This window comes from Homo sapiens, chromosome 3, assembly GCF_000001405.40.
Source record: "Homo sapiens chromosome 3, GRCh38.p14 Primary Assembly".
Lineage (NCBI taxonomy): Eukaryota > Metazoa > Chordata > Mammalia > Primates > Hominidae > Homo > Homo sapiens.
Window position 1 is genome coordinate 121688924 of NC_000003.12, and position 13962 is coordinate 121702885.

At 38.7% G+C, this 13962-nt stretch overlaps 1 protein-coding gene across 28 annotated transcripts in view; it reads right to left on the reverse strand.

Annotated features, from left to right (window-relative positions):
- GOLGB1 (golgin B1) overlaps positions 1 to 13962 on the reverse strand; it is an 86766-nt gene that overhangs the window by 25723 nt on the left and 47081 nt on the right. For all 28 annotated transcript variants that reach the window (XM_047447994.1, XM_047447992.1, XM_047447989.1 and 25 more), the window contains 4 exons: positions 13558 to 13672; positions 10889 to 10962; positions 4818 to 10006; positions 1747 to 3658 (listed from right to left, as the gene is read on the reverse strand). In XM_047447994.1, the coding sequence (XP_047303950.1) occupies positions 1747 to 3658; positions 4818 to 10006; positions 10889 to 10962; positions 13558 to 13672 (7290 nt within the window). The remainder of the gene's footprint in view (positions 1 to 1746; positions 3659 to 4817; positions 10007 to 10888; positions 10963 to 13557; positions 13673 to 13962) is intronic.

Genomic DNA, 13962 nt, shown 5'->3' on the forward strand with positions numbered 1-13962 from the left:
GAGAAGTGAGGAGCCCCTTGGCCTGGCAACCACCCCGTCTGGGAAGTGAGGAGCGTCTCCGCCCGGCAGCCACCCCCTCCGGGAGGGAGGTGGGGGGGTCAGCCCCCCGCCCAGCCAGCCGCCCCGTCCGGGAGGGAGGTGGGGGGGTCAGCCCCCCGCCCGGCCAGCCGCCCCGTCCGGGAGGTGAGGGGCACCTCTGCCCGGCCGCCACCCCGTCTGGGAGGTGTACCCAGCAGCTCATTGAGAACGGGCCATGATGACAATGGCGGTTTTGTGGAATAGAAAGGGGGGAAAGGTGGGGAAAAGATTGAGAAATCGGATGGTTGCCATGTCTGTGTAGAAAGAAGTAGACATGGGAAACTTTTCATTTTGTTCTGTACTAAGAAAAAATCTTCGGCCTTGGGATCCTGTTGATCTGTGACCTTACCCCCAACCCTGTGCTCTCTGAAACATGTGCTGTGTCCACTCAGGGTTAAATGGATTAAGGGCGGTGCAAGATGTGCTTTGTTAAACAGATGCTTGAAGGCAGCATGCTCGTTAAGAGTCATCACCACTCCCTAATCTCAAGTACCCAGGGACACAAACACTGCGGAAGGCCGCAGGGTCCTCTGCCTAGGAAAACCAGAGACCTTTGTTCACTTGTTTATCTGCTGACCTTCCCTCCACTATTGTCCTATGACCCTGCCAAATCCCCCTCTGTGAGAAACACCCAAGAATGATCAATTAAAAAAAAAAAAAAAAAATTAGAATTTTCAGATTCTGGGTATGGGTCACATTTCAAAATGGAAAGCCTAGCCTTTCAAAACTCCATTTATTTCCTATTTGGCCTATTTTCCTACAAATACAAAGCCTTGATAGAGTTAACAGACTATCATGAAAGTGAAGACAGTAATGTTGCCAAGTAGAATCCCCTAACAAGCCAAGAGTGGTGGCTCATGCCTGTAATCCCAGCTACTTGGGCGGCTGAGGCAGGAGGACTGCTTGAGCCTAGGAGCAGTAGAATCCTGACAACCTGGCTTGGCTCATACAGTTCCAGTTTTGCCCCTGAATCTTGGGAGACCTGGATTAAACTCCTGACTCCTACTAAAAGCTGTCAAATGTCAGCATTAGGAAGCCTCTTTAGCTTTTTCTCCCATTGGAAATGTTGGGTATTAAAAGGAAGTGGGTAAATGGTTCAGCCTGCAAATAAAACTTTACTAAAAAGTCATTTCAACTTATTTAAAGGAACTCTTTTTACGTCACTTTTTTTTATTTTTGACAAATTAGGGTTGAGTTACCCATGAGATGAACTGAGTCCTTTCTGCTCCAAATTCTACCAGATAATCTATTGCTAAATTGTAAACAAGACACTAAATGATCCTTATACTTCACTGTAAGAAGGCACTAAGTGATCCTTTTACTTTCTTTCAGTTAAGCTATGACAAATTCTGGAAACATTTACACATGTCTTTGTGTATATAAAATATATAAAACAGTTCTCCACCTCTTAGTCCTTTTATAACCAATGGAGAGTTTTGTGCCAAGGAAATTTCTGATTTTTTTTCTAATGGTATTGGCAGGTTTAGCAATTTAAATCATGTTTCTGTGCTTCTCTAAGACCAAACAGAACCTGTGGGATACATAATACTTTCCCTGCGTTCCCAGATAATATGTATAAGAATGTGTTTATCCTTTTCTATAAAAATAAATTTAAAGAAAGGTTCAAAAACTCTTAAACAGATCAGAAAGAAAGAACTAGCTACTCACTAGTCTGTCTCTGTCATTTTGGAGTGAAGACATAGCTTTTTTTAAACTCTGTACTTCAGCTGGGCTGGTGGAAGGCTGAGCTGCAGACCTCTGCTTCCCTTCCTCTGACTTTCGAAATTTCTCCAGCTCATTCCACAGGTGATCTCTCTCATTCTGCAGACTGGCCATAGCCTTGGAAAAGGACTGCACTTGGTTATAAGAATCTTCTAGTTGTGAGGACAAGTGAAGCAATTGCTCATCTTTGGATAGGAGCTGTTGGTTAAGTTTCTCAAGGTGAGACAAGCTATTCTCCTCAGTGGAGTTCATTGAAAAGGCGGTTTCAGAAAGAAGAGCATCTCTCTCTCTGTTTAAGAGTCCCTGTTCTTTCAACTGTGCCAATTCCTTCAGACTGGCATCATATTTCCTTTTCAGTTCATCAAGTTCCTCATTGGCATGATCTCTACTATTTTGCAAGGAACTCATAGACCTTCCAAAAGACTGAATTTGTGCTGTGAGACCTTTATTTTCTTTGGTGACCATGAGTAATTTCTGTTCCATCTCCACCAAATCTCTTGCTAGCTCTGCCACTCTCTCTTCTGCTGTTTCAGTTTCATTTCTCATTATCCCTGCATCATGATGAAGATGCTTTAATTCTTTCTTCAGTTTATCTTCAATTTCACCTACCTTCTTGGCAGCTTCCTTTTGAACACAAACCAATTCTTCTTCCAGTTCTGCAATTCTCTTTTGAGAGGAGGAAAACAAAGCACTTAACCTGTGTACCTCTTCTTCTTTTACTTTTAACTGGGCATGATAGAGTCCTAAAGTACCTTCTTCTTGCAAGGCTGTTACTTGTCTTGTTAGCTGGGATATAGATACTTTCAAACTCTCAATCTCTTTAGATAAATCTTGTTTCTCTTCTTGTAGGGCATTAAAGGACCTCCGCAGATCCTCATTTGCTTCCTCAGATTCCTTCAGCTTTTCTTCTAATTTAGCATATTTATTTTCCAGCTCCTTATTTTGCTGAAGTTGAACTTCAAGAAGCTGCTTTTGTTGGCTGTCCTTTATTGTTATCACTTGGTTCAGGTCTTCTCTATATTGGATCAGTTCTGCATCTAGCTTGGCATTCTCAGAATTGAGATCATCCATATGACTTCTCAAGCCTCGTATTTCTTCTTTAAGCTTATTATTCTCTGCAGCAGCCTCTTGGATGAGTTGGTCTTTTTCCAAGATTATAGAGAGATGTCGCTCTTCCAGCTGTTGATAGTCACCCACTATGCGGTCTCGATCATTTTGGAGAGAAGACATGGATTTAACAAAGGAATCCAACTGTGCCTTTTGCTGAATGTTTTCCTTTTTGATGGTTTTCAGTGTTTCCATAAGCTGATTGGTTTTATCAACAGCCTTTTTGTTCTCCTCTTCTAAAACAATATTCTCCTCTTCCTCCTGGGACAGCAGGTTTTCCAGCTCTTTAATTTCTTTATCATGTTGCTGACGCAGTTCAGCAATAGCTACTTGGATTGCCTCTTCCTTGCCAGAAAGCAGGCTTATAATCTTTTGCTCTTTCATATTTATTTCTTCATGCAGCCTACTGGTCAGTTCTCTGGAGGCCTGAAGATCAGTCTCCAGTTGTTCATAACTGAACTTAGAATTTTGAATATCAGCCTCTTGCTGCCTTATGATCCCTTCCAAGTTTCCTTTTTGTTCCTTACATTTTTCTAAAGAGTTACTTAAATCAGTCAACTGGTCTTTGAGACTCTTAAGTTCTGATTCCAACTTAGCTAATTCATTCTGAGAACTGTGGTATAGGTGGCGTGTCTCTTCTAGCTGGGACAAAAGTTCTTTGTTTTCCCCCTGTAGAGTATCACAGACCTTCTGCTGAAGCTGGACCTCTGTCTGGGCCTTGGACTCCCAAATCTGCTTGTCATGTTCAAGCCTGAAACAGAGAGAAGGTCATTAGTTACAGATTTCAAGAAAAAAACTGTGTTTCCCAAGGAACAAATACTATAACATGTACTCAATAGATTTACAAATGAATTAACATTCATAACAGGTGTTAAATATTTTACTGAAGAGGTATTAATTCTCTGCACCTACATGTTTATCTACTGAGTGCTATGTATTAAAGGTATATCATACTTAAGGGTTCATATATTTAAGTCATAAACTCCAAAATATGTCACTTATTTTAGTGACATGGTTTTCAACACTGAAAAGTAACATTTTCTCCTATTTTATTCTACTTTGCTCCAGACAAGCTAACGTTTGGCTTCTCTAAGGGATAATCTTGATATGAAAGACAGTGAGAAAATCTGTTTTAGAACAGAAGGGTCCTATTGGAAGTAAGGAATACAAAGGATGAGAGACATTATTAGTTCTATAGATTAAAAAGTGACAGAAAATTGAAATTTGAGAAAAAATAACTCTAAGAGGTATATGCAGTATGAATTAATGTGGACTAAAGGAAGAAGAAAAGACGAGACTAGACAATTAATTTGAGAGTACTGTGGTAAAAATCCAGGCAAGAGTAGTTGAAATGGAAATGAAAAGAAATACAGAGGCCAGGTGCAATGGCTCATGCCTGTAATCCCAGCACTTTGGGAGGCCGAGGTGGGTGGATCACCTGAGGTCAGGAGTTCGAGACCAGCCTGGCCAACATGGTGAAACCCCCTCTCTACTAAAAATACAAAAAATTAGCTGGGCGTGTTGGTAGGCTCCTGTAATCCCAGCTACTCGGGAGGCTGAGGCAGGAGAATTGCTTGAACCCAGGAGGCAGAGGTTGCAGTGAGCCAAAATCGTGCCATTGCATTCCAGCCTGGGTGACAAGAGCAAGACTCCATCTTAAACAAAACAAAACAGAAGTACAGAAATCTCTCAATAGAAAGATGGGAAGAGAAGATGCGAACTTTTCATGTTCATGCAGTTGTAGCAGGATTGTTGTTTGCCAAAAAAAAGTCAGAAGTGAGAGAGAATATATCTTCCATGGACATTTATGCCAAAATTAGTCCCATTGTCTAAAAGGAAACAGAAATAGTTTAGAGACTTTCTTTGCTTGAAGTTACCTCTGGAGGAGGAAAAATTCACTACTCATTTACCTGGAAATGTTAATCTTTAATTCTTCCATATGGATGGACATCTGTCTAAGTTGATCCTTTAGAACACTGCAATTATCTTCTTTGAGTCTAATTTCTTCTTCTTTGCTTTGAATCGCATCACTAAACTTCCTCTCCCATTTCTTAGCTTCATCTATCACCCTGTCACGATCATCCTGGAGGGAAGACATGCTCTTAGTAAAGGCTGCAAGCTGGGTCACAGTACTGTCCAAGTTTTCCTGAAGTTGCTGAACTTCCTTGTCTTTCTTGTTCAAAGTAACCTGAATCTCTCCAATTGTCTCTTCCAAGTGGACTTTTTCTCTGCGCAAAGCATCCAGTTTCTCTTGCATATTCTTCTTCTCTTTCAGGTGCTTCTCTTCTGCCTGTTCCAGTCTTCGCTCAAGATCTTCATCCTTTTGTTTCATCTGGCTTTTAACTGATTCTTTATTTGACTGAAGTTCCTTTTTCAACTTGAGATTGTCTGCTAGGACCCTTGCTGCTTCACTTTGAGTGTCATCTAGCAGGACTTTGAAGCTAGCTAATTCTGCTTGTGCCTTTTTGCGGTGTTCAACTGCTTGAGCCAGATTTTCTTTGGTTATTTCCAAATCTTTTTGAGATTCAGTTTGAACAAATTCTAGAGCTTTAACAGTTCTCTCCAGAGCACTAATTTTCTCTTGATACCTGATGCAGTCCTTCTGTAGCTGCTTTACTTCTTGTTGTTTTTCTTTTAACAGTTCCTGAAGTTCCTTTGCATGGCTTTTATTTCCGGGTTCTTTCTGAGCACCTTGTATTTTCTCCAAATATTCCTTTCGTATTTCTGATTCCACCTTAGTTTTTTCCTTGACTAACTGCTGCTTTTCTTCTTCCAATTCACTCACACACTTTTTAAGGTTCTTCATTTCAGATTCCAATAGCTCATTTTTTATTTGGGCATCTGTAACATCCTGACAGTAATTCCCAATGCTTCCATTAAGTTCTGCTAATTGATTCATAAGCCTCTCTTCCAAATCATCTTTCTCTTCTTCTGCTGTCTCCTTTAGTTTGGTAACTCTGGAGAGTTCTTCTTGGATTTGCTGATTTAACAGGTTCATTTTGGTTACTTCCTCCTGAAGCATTTTTAGTTCACCATCCTTTGTTGATATCTGACTCAGTAAGGTATTTTTCTCATTTTCTAAAGTCTGGCTAAATTCCTTGTTTTTCTGCTTCTCCTCCTCTAATCCAGCAATTCTTTCTTTGAGCTGATCAATCTGCTGTAGGTAGTTATTAATTTCATCATGTGAGCTGAAATCCTTACTTACAGCAGGGTTGGCACTCTTCGCTGATGGAACCGATTCTGAACATGTAGGTCTTGTGCTCATACTCAGAGAGTCTTGCTCTTCAGTCTCACCTGGTATAGACTGTGTTCCCTCTTCAGTGACATTCGTTTGGTTATCATGTTTCTCGGTGGCCTCTAGGTTAGCTTGTTTAGATACATTACCTTCTATCTGATGCTTTAAATCTTGAACCTCTTCACTTAGAGAGTCTTTCTCAGACATTAAAGACTGAAACTTCTTAGAAAGGGTTTCATACTCCATTTTGACCCTTTCAAGTTCTTCCTTCATGCTGGCATTGGAAGAAAGAAGTGTTTCCATACACTCTTTAGCTGTATCTCCTGCAGGGTGCACCTCTGCCCTAAGCCGGTCATTCTCTTCTTCCAGCTCTAGGATTTTCTGCTGTTTAGATTTAGCAAACTTTCTCATCTTTTCTTTCATTTCCTCCATTTCTTGCTCAGCTTCCTGCAACTGCTTTTCTGTCTCCTTCTTGTTTGCCTCTGTGCTTCTTAACTTGCCATACAGTTCTTGTTTCTCTTGCCTCACAGCTTCCACCACATGCTGAATCCTTTCTGCTTCATTACTAACATTCTCATAGGACTGCAGAAGAATTTCATACTCTTTTTGTAGCTCCTTGTGTTTCTCTTGCCACTCAGTACTTTCTGCAATCTTAGAAGATTTCAAAGATTCAATTTCCTTCACTAACTTTTCCTTGTCTTCAGTAAGACCCTCTAGAGCTAGTTTTAGACTTTCACAGGAGCTGCTGAGACTCTGATTTTCCAATAAAGACCTGTCCATTTCTGTAATGAGTTTGTCTCTTTCTTCTTGAAGAAGAGCTAACCTTCCTAAGACCGTATCTTTTTCTTTATTTTGAGCAGAAACTTGGCTTTCCACATCTGCCAGAGACTTGGTGAGACGTTCAATGGTACCTCTGGCCAAAGACAATTCCTCTTGGAGACTTTTGTTTTCTTTTAGTGCTTCTTTTCGGGAAATAAGGGCAGCTTGCAGTTTCCTTTGTATTTGTTGCTTTGCTCTACTTTCTTCTCCAATCTCTTCTGGTTTTTGCTTCATTTCACAAAGTTCCACCTGTAGCTGCTTTATCCTCTCATCATGCTCTTTGGCTTGCATTTCTAGCTGTGTATGCAGAGCCTTAATTAAATCTTCTTGTTCTATTATCTCTGTCTGTATTTTAGTGAGAGCTGCTTCTTTCTCACTAAGTTGTCCAGAAAGGTAGCTAACGTCTTCTTCCTTTTTGCTTATGAGTTTTTGCAGTTCATCCAGTTTAGGTTGCAATTCTCTTAGATGTTCTAGGCCAGCAATTTGTAGTTGGCTGCTTTCCAATTTCTGCTGCAGGCTTTCGGCATGGACTTCAGCTTCATGGGATACTGTCTTTAGACTCTCGATTTCTAAACCCTGTTTATTTATCTGCTCTTGTAACTGAAATACCTCTTCTGATTTTTTAGTAAGCTCACTTGTTGTAGAACTAACTTTCAATTCTAACTCTACTTTCTCAGCCTCTATTTCCTTCAGCTGGGCCTTAATCTGGGCAACAGAAGTTCCGCCCTGCAGAGCACTCGCATCTTCAGAATGAGAAGGCCAGTCTGGGCACAAGTTGGACTCTAAAACAGGTTGAGTGTGATGCTGTTCTGTGGCTTTGAATAAAGGTTCTTCTAAACCTGGAGTGGAAGAACACGATTCCTGCTGGTCTGTGCTTGGGAGTTTTCCGTCTATGGATTCCCTTACTTGAATCTGGAGTTGCCTTAGCTGGTCTCCAATATTCTCATTTTCCTTGCTTTGCTCATCAAACTGTTCTTGCAAGCGATTATAGTCATCTTTCTGTTGCTTTAGCTCCTCCCTGAGATGTCTTTCTTTCTCCTGTGCCTTTTTAAGAATTGCCTTGCGGGAGGTTAAGGCTTCCTGTAGCTTCTTTTGAAGTTGCTCCTTTTCTTTTTCAAGGGCCAGTATCTTTTCTTCTAGTTCTGGTTTCCAGTGTTCACTACTACCTGTACAAGGTGGACTTATCACCACTGTTTCCTTTACAAGTGCTACGGAGTCCCCATCACTTGCATCCGTGTTACTTGTGATTAACTTCTGGATAATTGCTTGGTTTTCACTGATTTCTGCTTGGAGCAAATCTATTTGGTTTGTTTTATCTTGCAAGGTCTGATTCATCTGTTTGACCAGAGCCTGGAATTGCTCTTCAGCTGCCAGCTTTTCTTCCAAATCCTTCCTTATATGCTGTAGTTCCACTTCTTTCTCAGATATTGTCTGTTTTAAATAAATTTCTATTTCTTGGCACTTAGAAGTCACACATTTTTCTGAGTATTCTTTGTTTTCTTTATCTTCTTCCACTTCTCCCCTCTCAGTCTCACTGAGTGGGATTTCTTTCTTAGATTCATCTTTCAAGTTGGCTAATTCTTCTTCCAATCTACTGACTCTTTGCAGAAGCTCCTTTCTGTTAATAAGAGCTGCCTGGAGCTTTCTCTTTCTCTGCTCATTTTCTTTCTTCAGAAGGTCAAATTCATGCTGAAGTTCTTCCTTACTTATTTGTCCTGCTGGGCTCATCTCATCATAATTTTGTTTAAGGCCAGAAGAAACTTCATTATCTTCTTCCACCTGCTCTTTTTTTGCTTCCTCAGCTCTGGATAATAAATTTAGCTGTTCTTTAAGAGTCTTAATTTCAACCCCAAGAGAAAACTTCTCTTCATTAAGCTGAACCATTTTCTCAGTCATACTAAAGCTGATTTCTGTCACTTGTTGATCCTTCTCCTCGATGGTTTGTTGGAGGGTTTCCACATCTCTCTTTTTCTCTAGTAAGAGCTGATCCATTTTTGTTATTTCAAGTTCCTTCTGTGAAAGAGCCTGGGACAGTTCTTCCACTTTACTTGAGATATGCCTTACACGTTCTGCCCCCTCAAGCACTTCACTTTCCTTATTTTGCAGCTGGCTTTGCAGGCTTCTTATCAGGGTACTCTGCTCAGAAAACTGAAGCTGCACATCATCCAGTTCATTCTGTAAAACTTCAATTTTCACATCTTTAGATTTGGCTTCTATGCTGAGACTATGGATCTGTTCAGTGAGCAGGTTGTCATGGGCAGTTTGGCTTTCATAATCAAGTCTTCTTTGCCTTTCTGCTTCTGCAAGGTTCATTTCCAGTTGCTTTACCTGAGCCCTCAATTCTGTTACCATGCTAAGTTCCTTCACCTGAGAGAGAAGCTGGTCTCTTTCTTCAGACAAAGCAGTGAATGCACTGCTGTTGTTGTCAGCATTTTTCTTAAACTCCTCAATCAACTGGTTTAGGTTGCTAATTTCCTTAGCTTTCTCATCTAAATTTTTCTCATAGATTTCTTGTGCTTTATGAAAGTTTAGCTCGAGCTCCAAAATTTGACTTTTTAACCTTTCCAACTCATCCTGATGACACTGACCAATATCTGGTACAGCAGAAAGGGATTTATCACCATCCTGCTTTGTTGATTTCAATTCTACTCCAGCATCATTTAAAGATATTTCCTCAGATGTTCTACTTTGATGTTCAGTGCTCGCCTGTTCTTTTTCAACTGCTGGAAGACTGCTCTCTTCATTTGGCATTAAGGGAAAATCTTGCCCTGTATCTTCAAGAAATACTTTCATTTTAATTGGAGCTATTCCCTCACCCTCCATCTGTTTCATTTCTTTCTGGTCAAGGACCTCATGATCTGCTTCCTCAGCCCTTTTTCCCTGGAGCTGTAATTTAAGAAATGCAATTTCCTCTTGAGCTTCTTTCATTTCCAACAATAAAACTGATAATTCTTTATGTTTCTGAGAAAATGTGTTTTCTAGAACATCTTGTCCACTTTCCTCAGCAGAAGAGCTCCTCTTGTTGGCAATATCAACAATGCTGATCTATTTTTAAAAAAGAAAAAAAAAGCTGTAATCAAATGTTTTATAACATTAAAAAAATAGCCCAACTAAAAACTTGTATTTCATCTTCTAAAACTTCAGACTTTTTGGTCAAAACCTTCTTTGTACCATAACACTGCTAAATCCTTTTAAAATCAGTTTGTATCTCCCAGCTGGACCTCCAAGGGCACTCTGCCAATCCTGCACTGAAGTCAAGCCCTATTCATAAGACCTAAGGAAATTGGGAATTCATTTTCTAGATATTCCTTACATAAGAAGCTTTTTTTCCTTCAGAATAAAACTCCTAATTGATTTTTTTTAAAAAGTAAGCAGATACTTTTGTTAGGAAGCCACATTACTCCTCAAGGGCATGTATAATTCTATCACTGACTTACTGATTAGAAAAACACAGCTAACTAAACAAAACGCAGCTAACAATACTCTTAAATCAACAGAATGATACTAAGCAACCATACCCTTCTTATAGTAATTTTCAGATTATTAAAAGGATCATTCTCCAAAGATCCCTTTTTATTTAATCTTAGTAAAACTATGCCAGTCTTATCTAATCTCTTCACTGAGAAACTTTTCTGAGATGAACAAAGAAGTTGAGATAGATGATAACCCAGTATAAAAAAATGTGTTATCAAATCCCAAATTAGTAGCTACTGTATTTGTGTTGCTTTAGAACAATGAATTTTAATATTCAGAAACAAGTAACAATAAATGAGATATAATAACCATTATGAATCTCTTTAATAGATCTTACTCTATAGGTAATGTACTTCTCTGGCAACACTAGAAAATTATGGACGTATTTTCATATGAAGCTACCTTCTCTTAATCTAGCTCATGTTCTGGTTATATTAAGAACACATCACTTACCTCACTGACTTCTCTGTCTGCCTCCCCAGTTCTATTCTGAGCCTCTAGGAGAGTAATCTGAGAAGACAGTTTTTCTGAAAGTCACAAAATAAATATCTTTAGAAGATATATGTGGAGTGTGTGAAAAAACAGGATTGCATGTGAAGCTATTTGAATTGTATGAAATAATTTTTTAAAAAATAAACAAAATAGCTTGGGAGAGGTGAAAGCCTTATTAAAGAAGTGGCAAGAGGATATGATTACATGAGATATAAGATAGAACAGTACTAGGTGATGATAATGAACCTGAATGAAGTATACTAAATAGTGGAAGGTTTGAAAGGAGAAGGATGCCAGGATGCAGGACATAAAGCAGCTATTTCTGTGGCATAATCTGGAACTTCTAGGACAATACATATAATTTATCCATAATCCTACTATGTTTGTAATATATATTTTGCATTAATATAGCACTTACAATGTTCTTCAATGTTCATAAAGATATCAAATTTTAGCACTAAAAGGGAGCTATCCTATCTCCTCAATGATCATATAAGGAAACAAAGAAATGACACAACCCGAAAGGTTACGCAGCTAGTTCAGGGAGCTGGGATTAGAATCCAAGTCTTCAGAGTTTTAACCCAAGTTCTGTGACAATGTGTATATATTGAGCATCAATATCAATATCCTCAAGAAGCTTATATTCTTTCTGAGAAGATAACACAGATACACCAAAGGAAAAAAATATATATATTTTTTACACTGTATCCAAATGTCTTAATGTGACCTACAGGAACCCTCATGCTTTGACCCTACTAATTCTCCAACCTCCTCTTCTTGTATTGCCCCCTTTTTGTTCACTCTGCTCTAAAAACACTGGTCTGTTTTCTCTTCTGCAAACTTATCAAGTTCATTCACACCTGAGAACATTTGTACTGCTTTTTTCTCTGCCTGGAATGCTCTCTGCTTAGCCTCTTTGCATGGCTGTCCCCTTTTCATCATTCAGGTTTAAAGTCCTCAGAAAGGCCTACTCTCACTACTCCAATTCTGCGTTCCTCTTCTCCAAGGCATACTTGAAATACTCTGTTTTATTTTAAGCCTAATACTTATCATTCTCTGAAATTTTCTTATGTGTATAAACAGGTTTGTAGTCTGTCTTCCCCTCCAATATGTTCATAGCTATATACCCAGCAACTGGAATAGTGCCTGGCACATAGGAAAGCCACCATAGATGAGACAAGGGAATTCAAGACAGTATATATGTTCAGACATTTCACAAGATTACTTGAAAAAGGAGTACAGTGGTAGAAATGTCAGTGCAAAAGGTGAGTTGAAAACAACATGACATACAAGGTAAAAGTAATCTATGAGGCCAGACACAAAAACCAATACAGAAAACCTTAAGGTCAGTGATCCCTGCAGGAAAGAGCAAAGGAATGGAACCCATATAATACCTCCAAACCATGTGAAGCCACATGGATAGGATACAGACTGTTTGCAAAACTGCAAAATAAGCATCATGGATAAGGTCTCAAAGAAGTGCTCTGAATGGGTTAAATAATGAGCTGAATTTGTGGTGTTCTTTACTTATTAGAAATAGTGGGAATCGTCTAATACAAGTGCATAAGCTTCCATTTAGATCTAAGTGGAAAACTGTAAAATGGTTAAGTTAGAAATACTGGCTCTAGAGTTTAATAAAAGTTTTACAACCTTTACTTGCTATTCATTCTCACTCCTAGATGATAAAGTGTAGTAGTCAGTTAAAGATGAATTAGATCAATAAAGCATTAACGACACGCTACTAAATCCATAAAGTCTACATGAAGCATATGATAAGTGGAAGGAGACACGTCTTCATTCTCACTAACTGTTCACACACAATCCAATAGGATAAAATGCTAAGTTCAGTTCAATCCAACAAAACTTTATTCAGTAGCCATTATTTGCCAGGTGGTATACTAGTTTTGGGTAAAGCAAAGATGGAAAAAAAAATGGCCCCTGCCCTTGAAGAGCTTATATTTAAACTTTGAAGAGCTTATAATATAGTAAAAAAGACAAACATATAAACAGATCATTTTAATACAATGTTAAAAGTATACAAGGATGTTATGGAAGCACAAAAAAATCATTTAACCCAACTTTTGGGGACCAATACCAAATTCCTGAAAAAGATAATATGCTAGTCGAGGCCTGAAAGATGAGTAACAATCATCCAGACTAAAGGAAAGGAGCAGGATTCTAAGCAGGGTACAGCACGAGCATAAACCACTCACTCACAACATAGTTTCTACCTTTAAACCTTTATACTGATCTCTGTTACCTCATCCCACAAATTTATTACCAGAATGTCCTTTCTTTCTTCATTTTACCTATTTTAAAAATCATCTTATTAAGGTCCTGTTCAAGCCATACTTCCTATAGGATACGATGACCATTCCAAAATGATTATGAGTTATAAAGAAATCCTGCAGCATGTATAGTCCATATTGCAAAATGTTATACTTATGTAAACACTGATACTATGCTCTAATTGTTTAATGTGTATTATCTTTGATAGTTACCAGCTCTATTATCTAAATCTTTATTATCACGGAATCAGAGAATTCTACATGTTATACATAATTAGTGATAAAAGTAGAGGCACTTGTGGGATAAGAAGACAGAGAATTATGGTTTTCTTTTATACATACCATTCTCAGCTTTCAGCTCCTCCAGCTCTATAGAACTAAGGAGCAAGGCTCCCTTTTCATTCTCTAGTTCTACCACTCTCTTCTGCAAAGAAGCAATATTCTCCTCAGTGACTGCCTAAATTGTAGAAAGACAACAAATTAATGATTCTCCAGCAGAAAATTCTCACACTAACGCCCAGATAGCCTCCAGCATTTTTGTCTTCTAGAAGTTCTCCAGCCATGAAAATACTTTAAAAATAACATCTACTTATCTGCCTAGGTAATCTTTGAAGAAAAGTGTTTTATCTAAAGATTTAGAAAAAGAAATAAAATATTTCACACAAATATCAAGTTCATTGGCTTTTAAATTTAAGATTGAAGCCTGGATTACAAAGATAGAAATCCCAAGTCTATAGCATAAGAAAG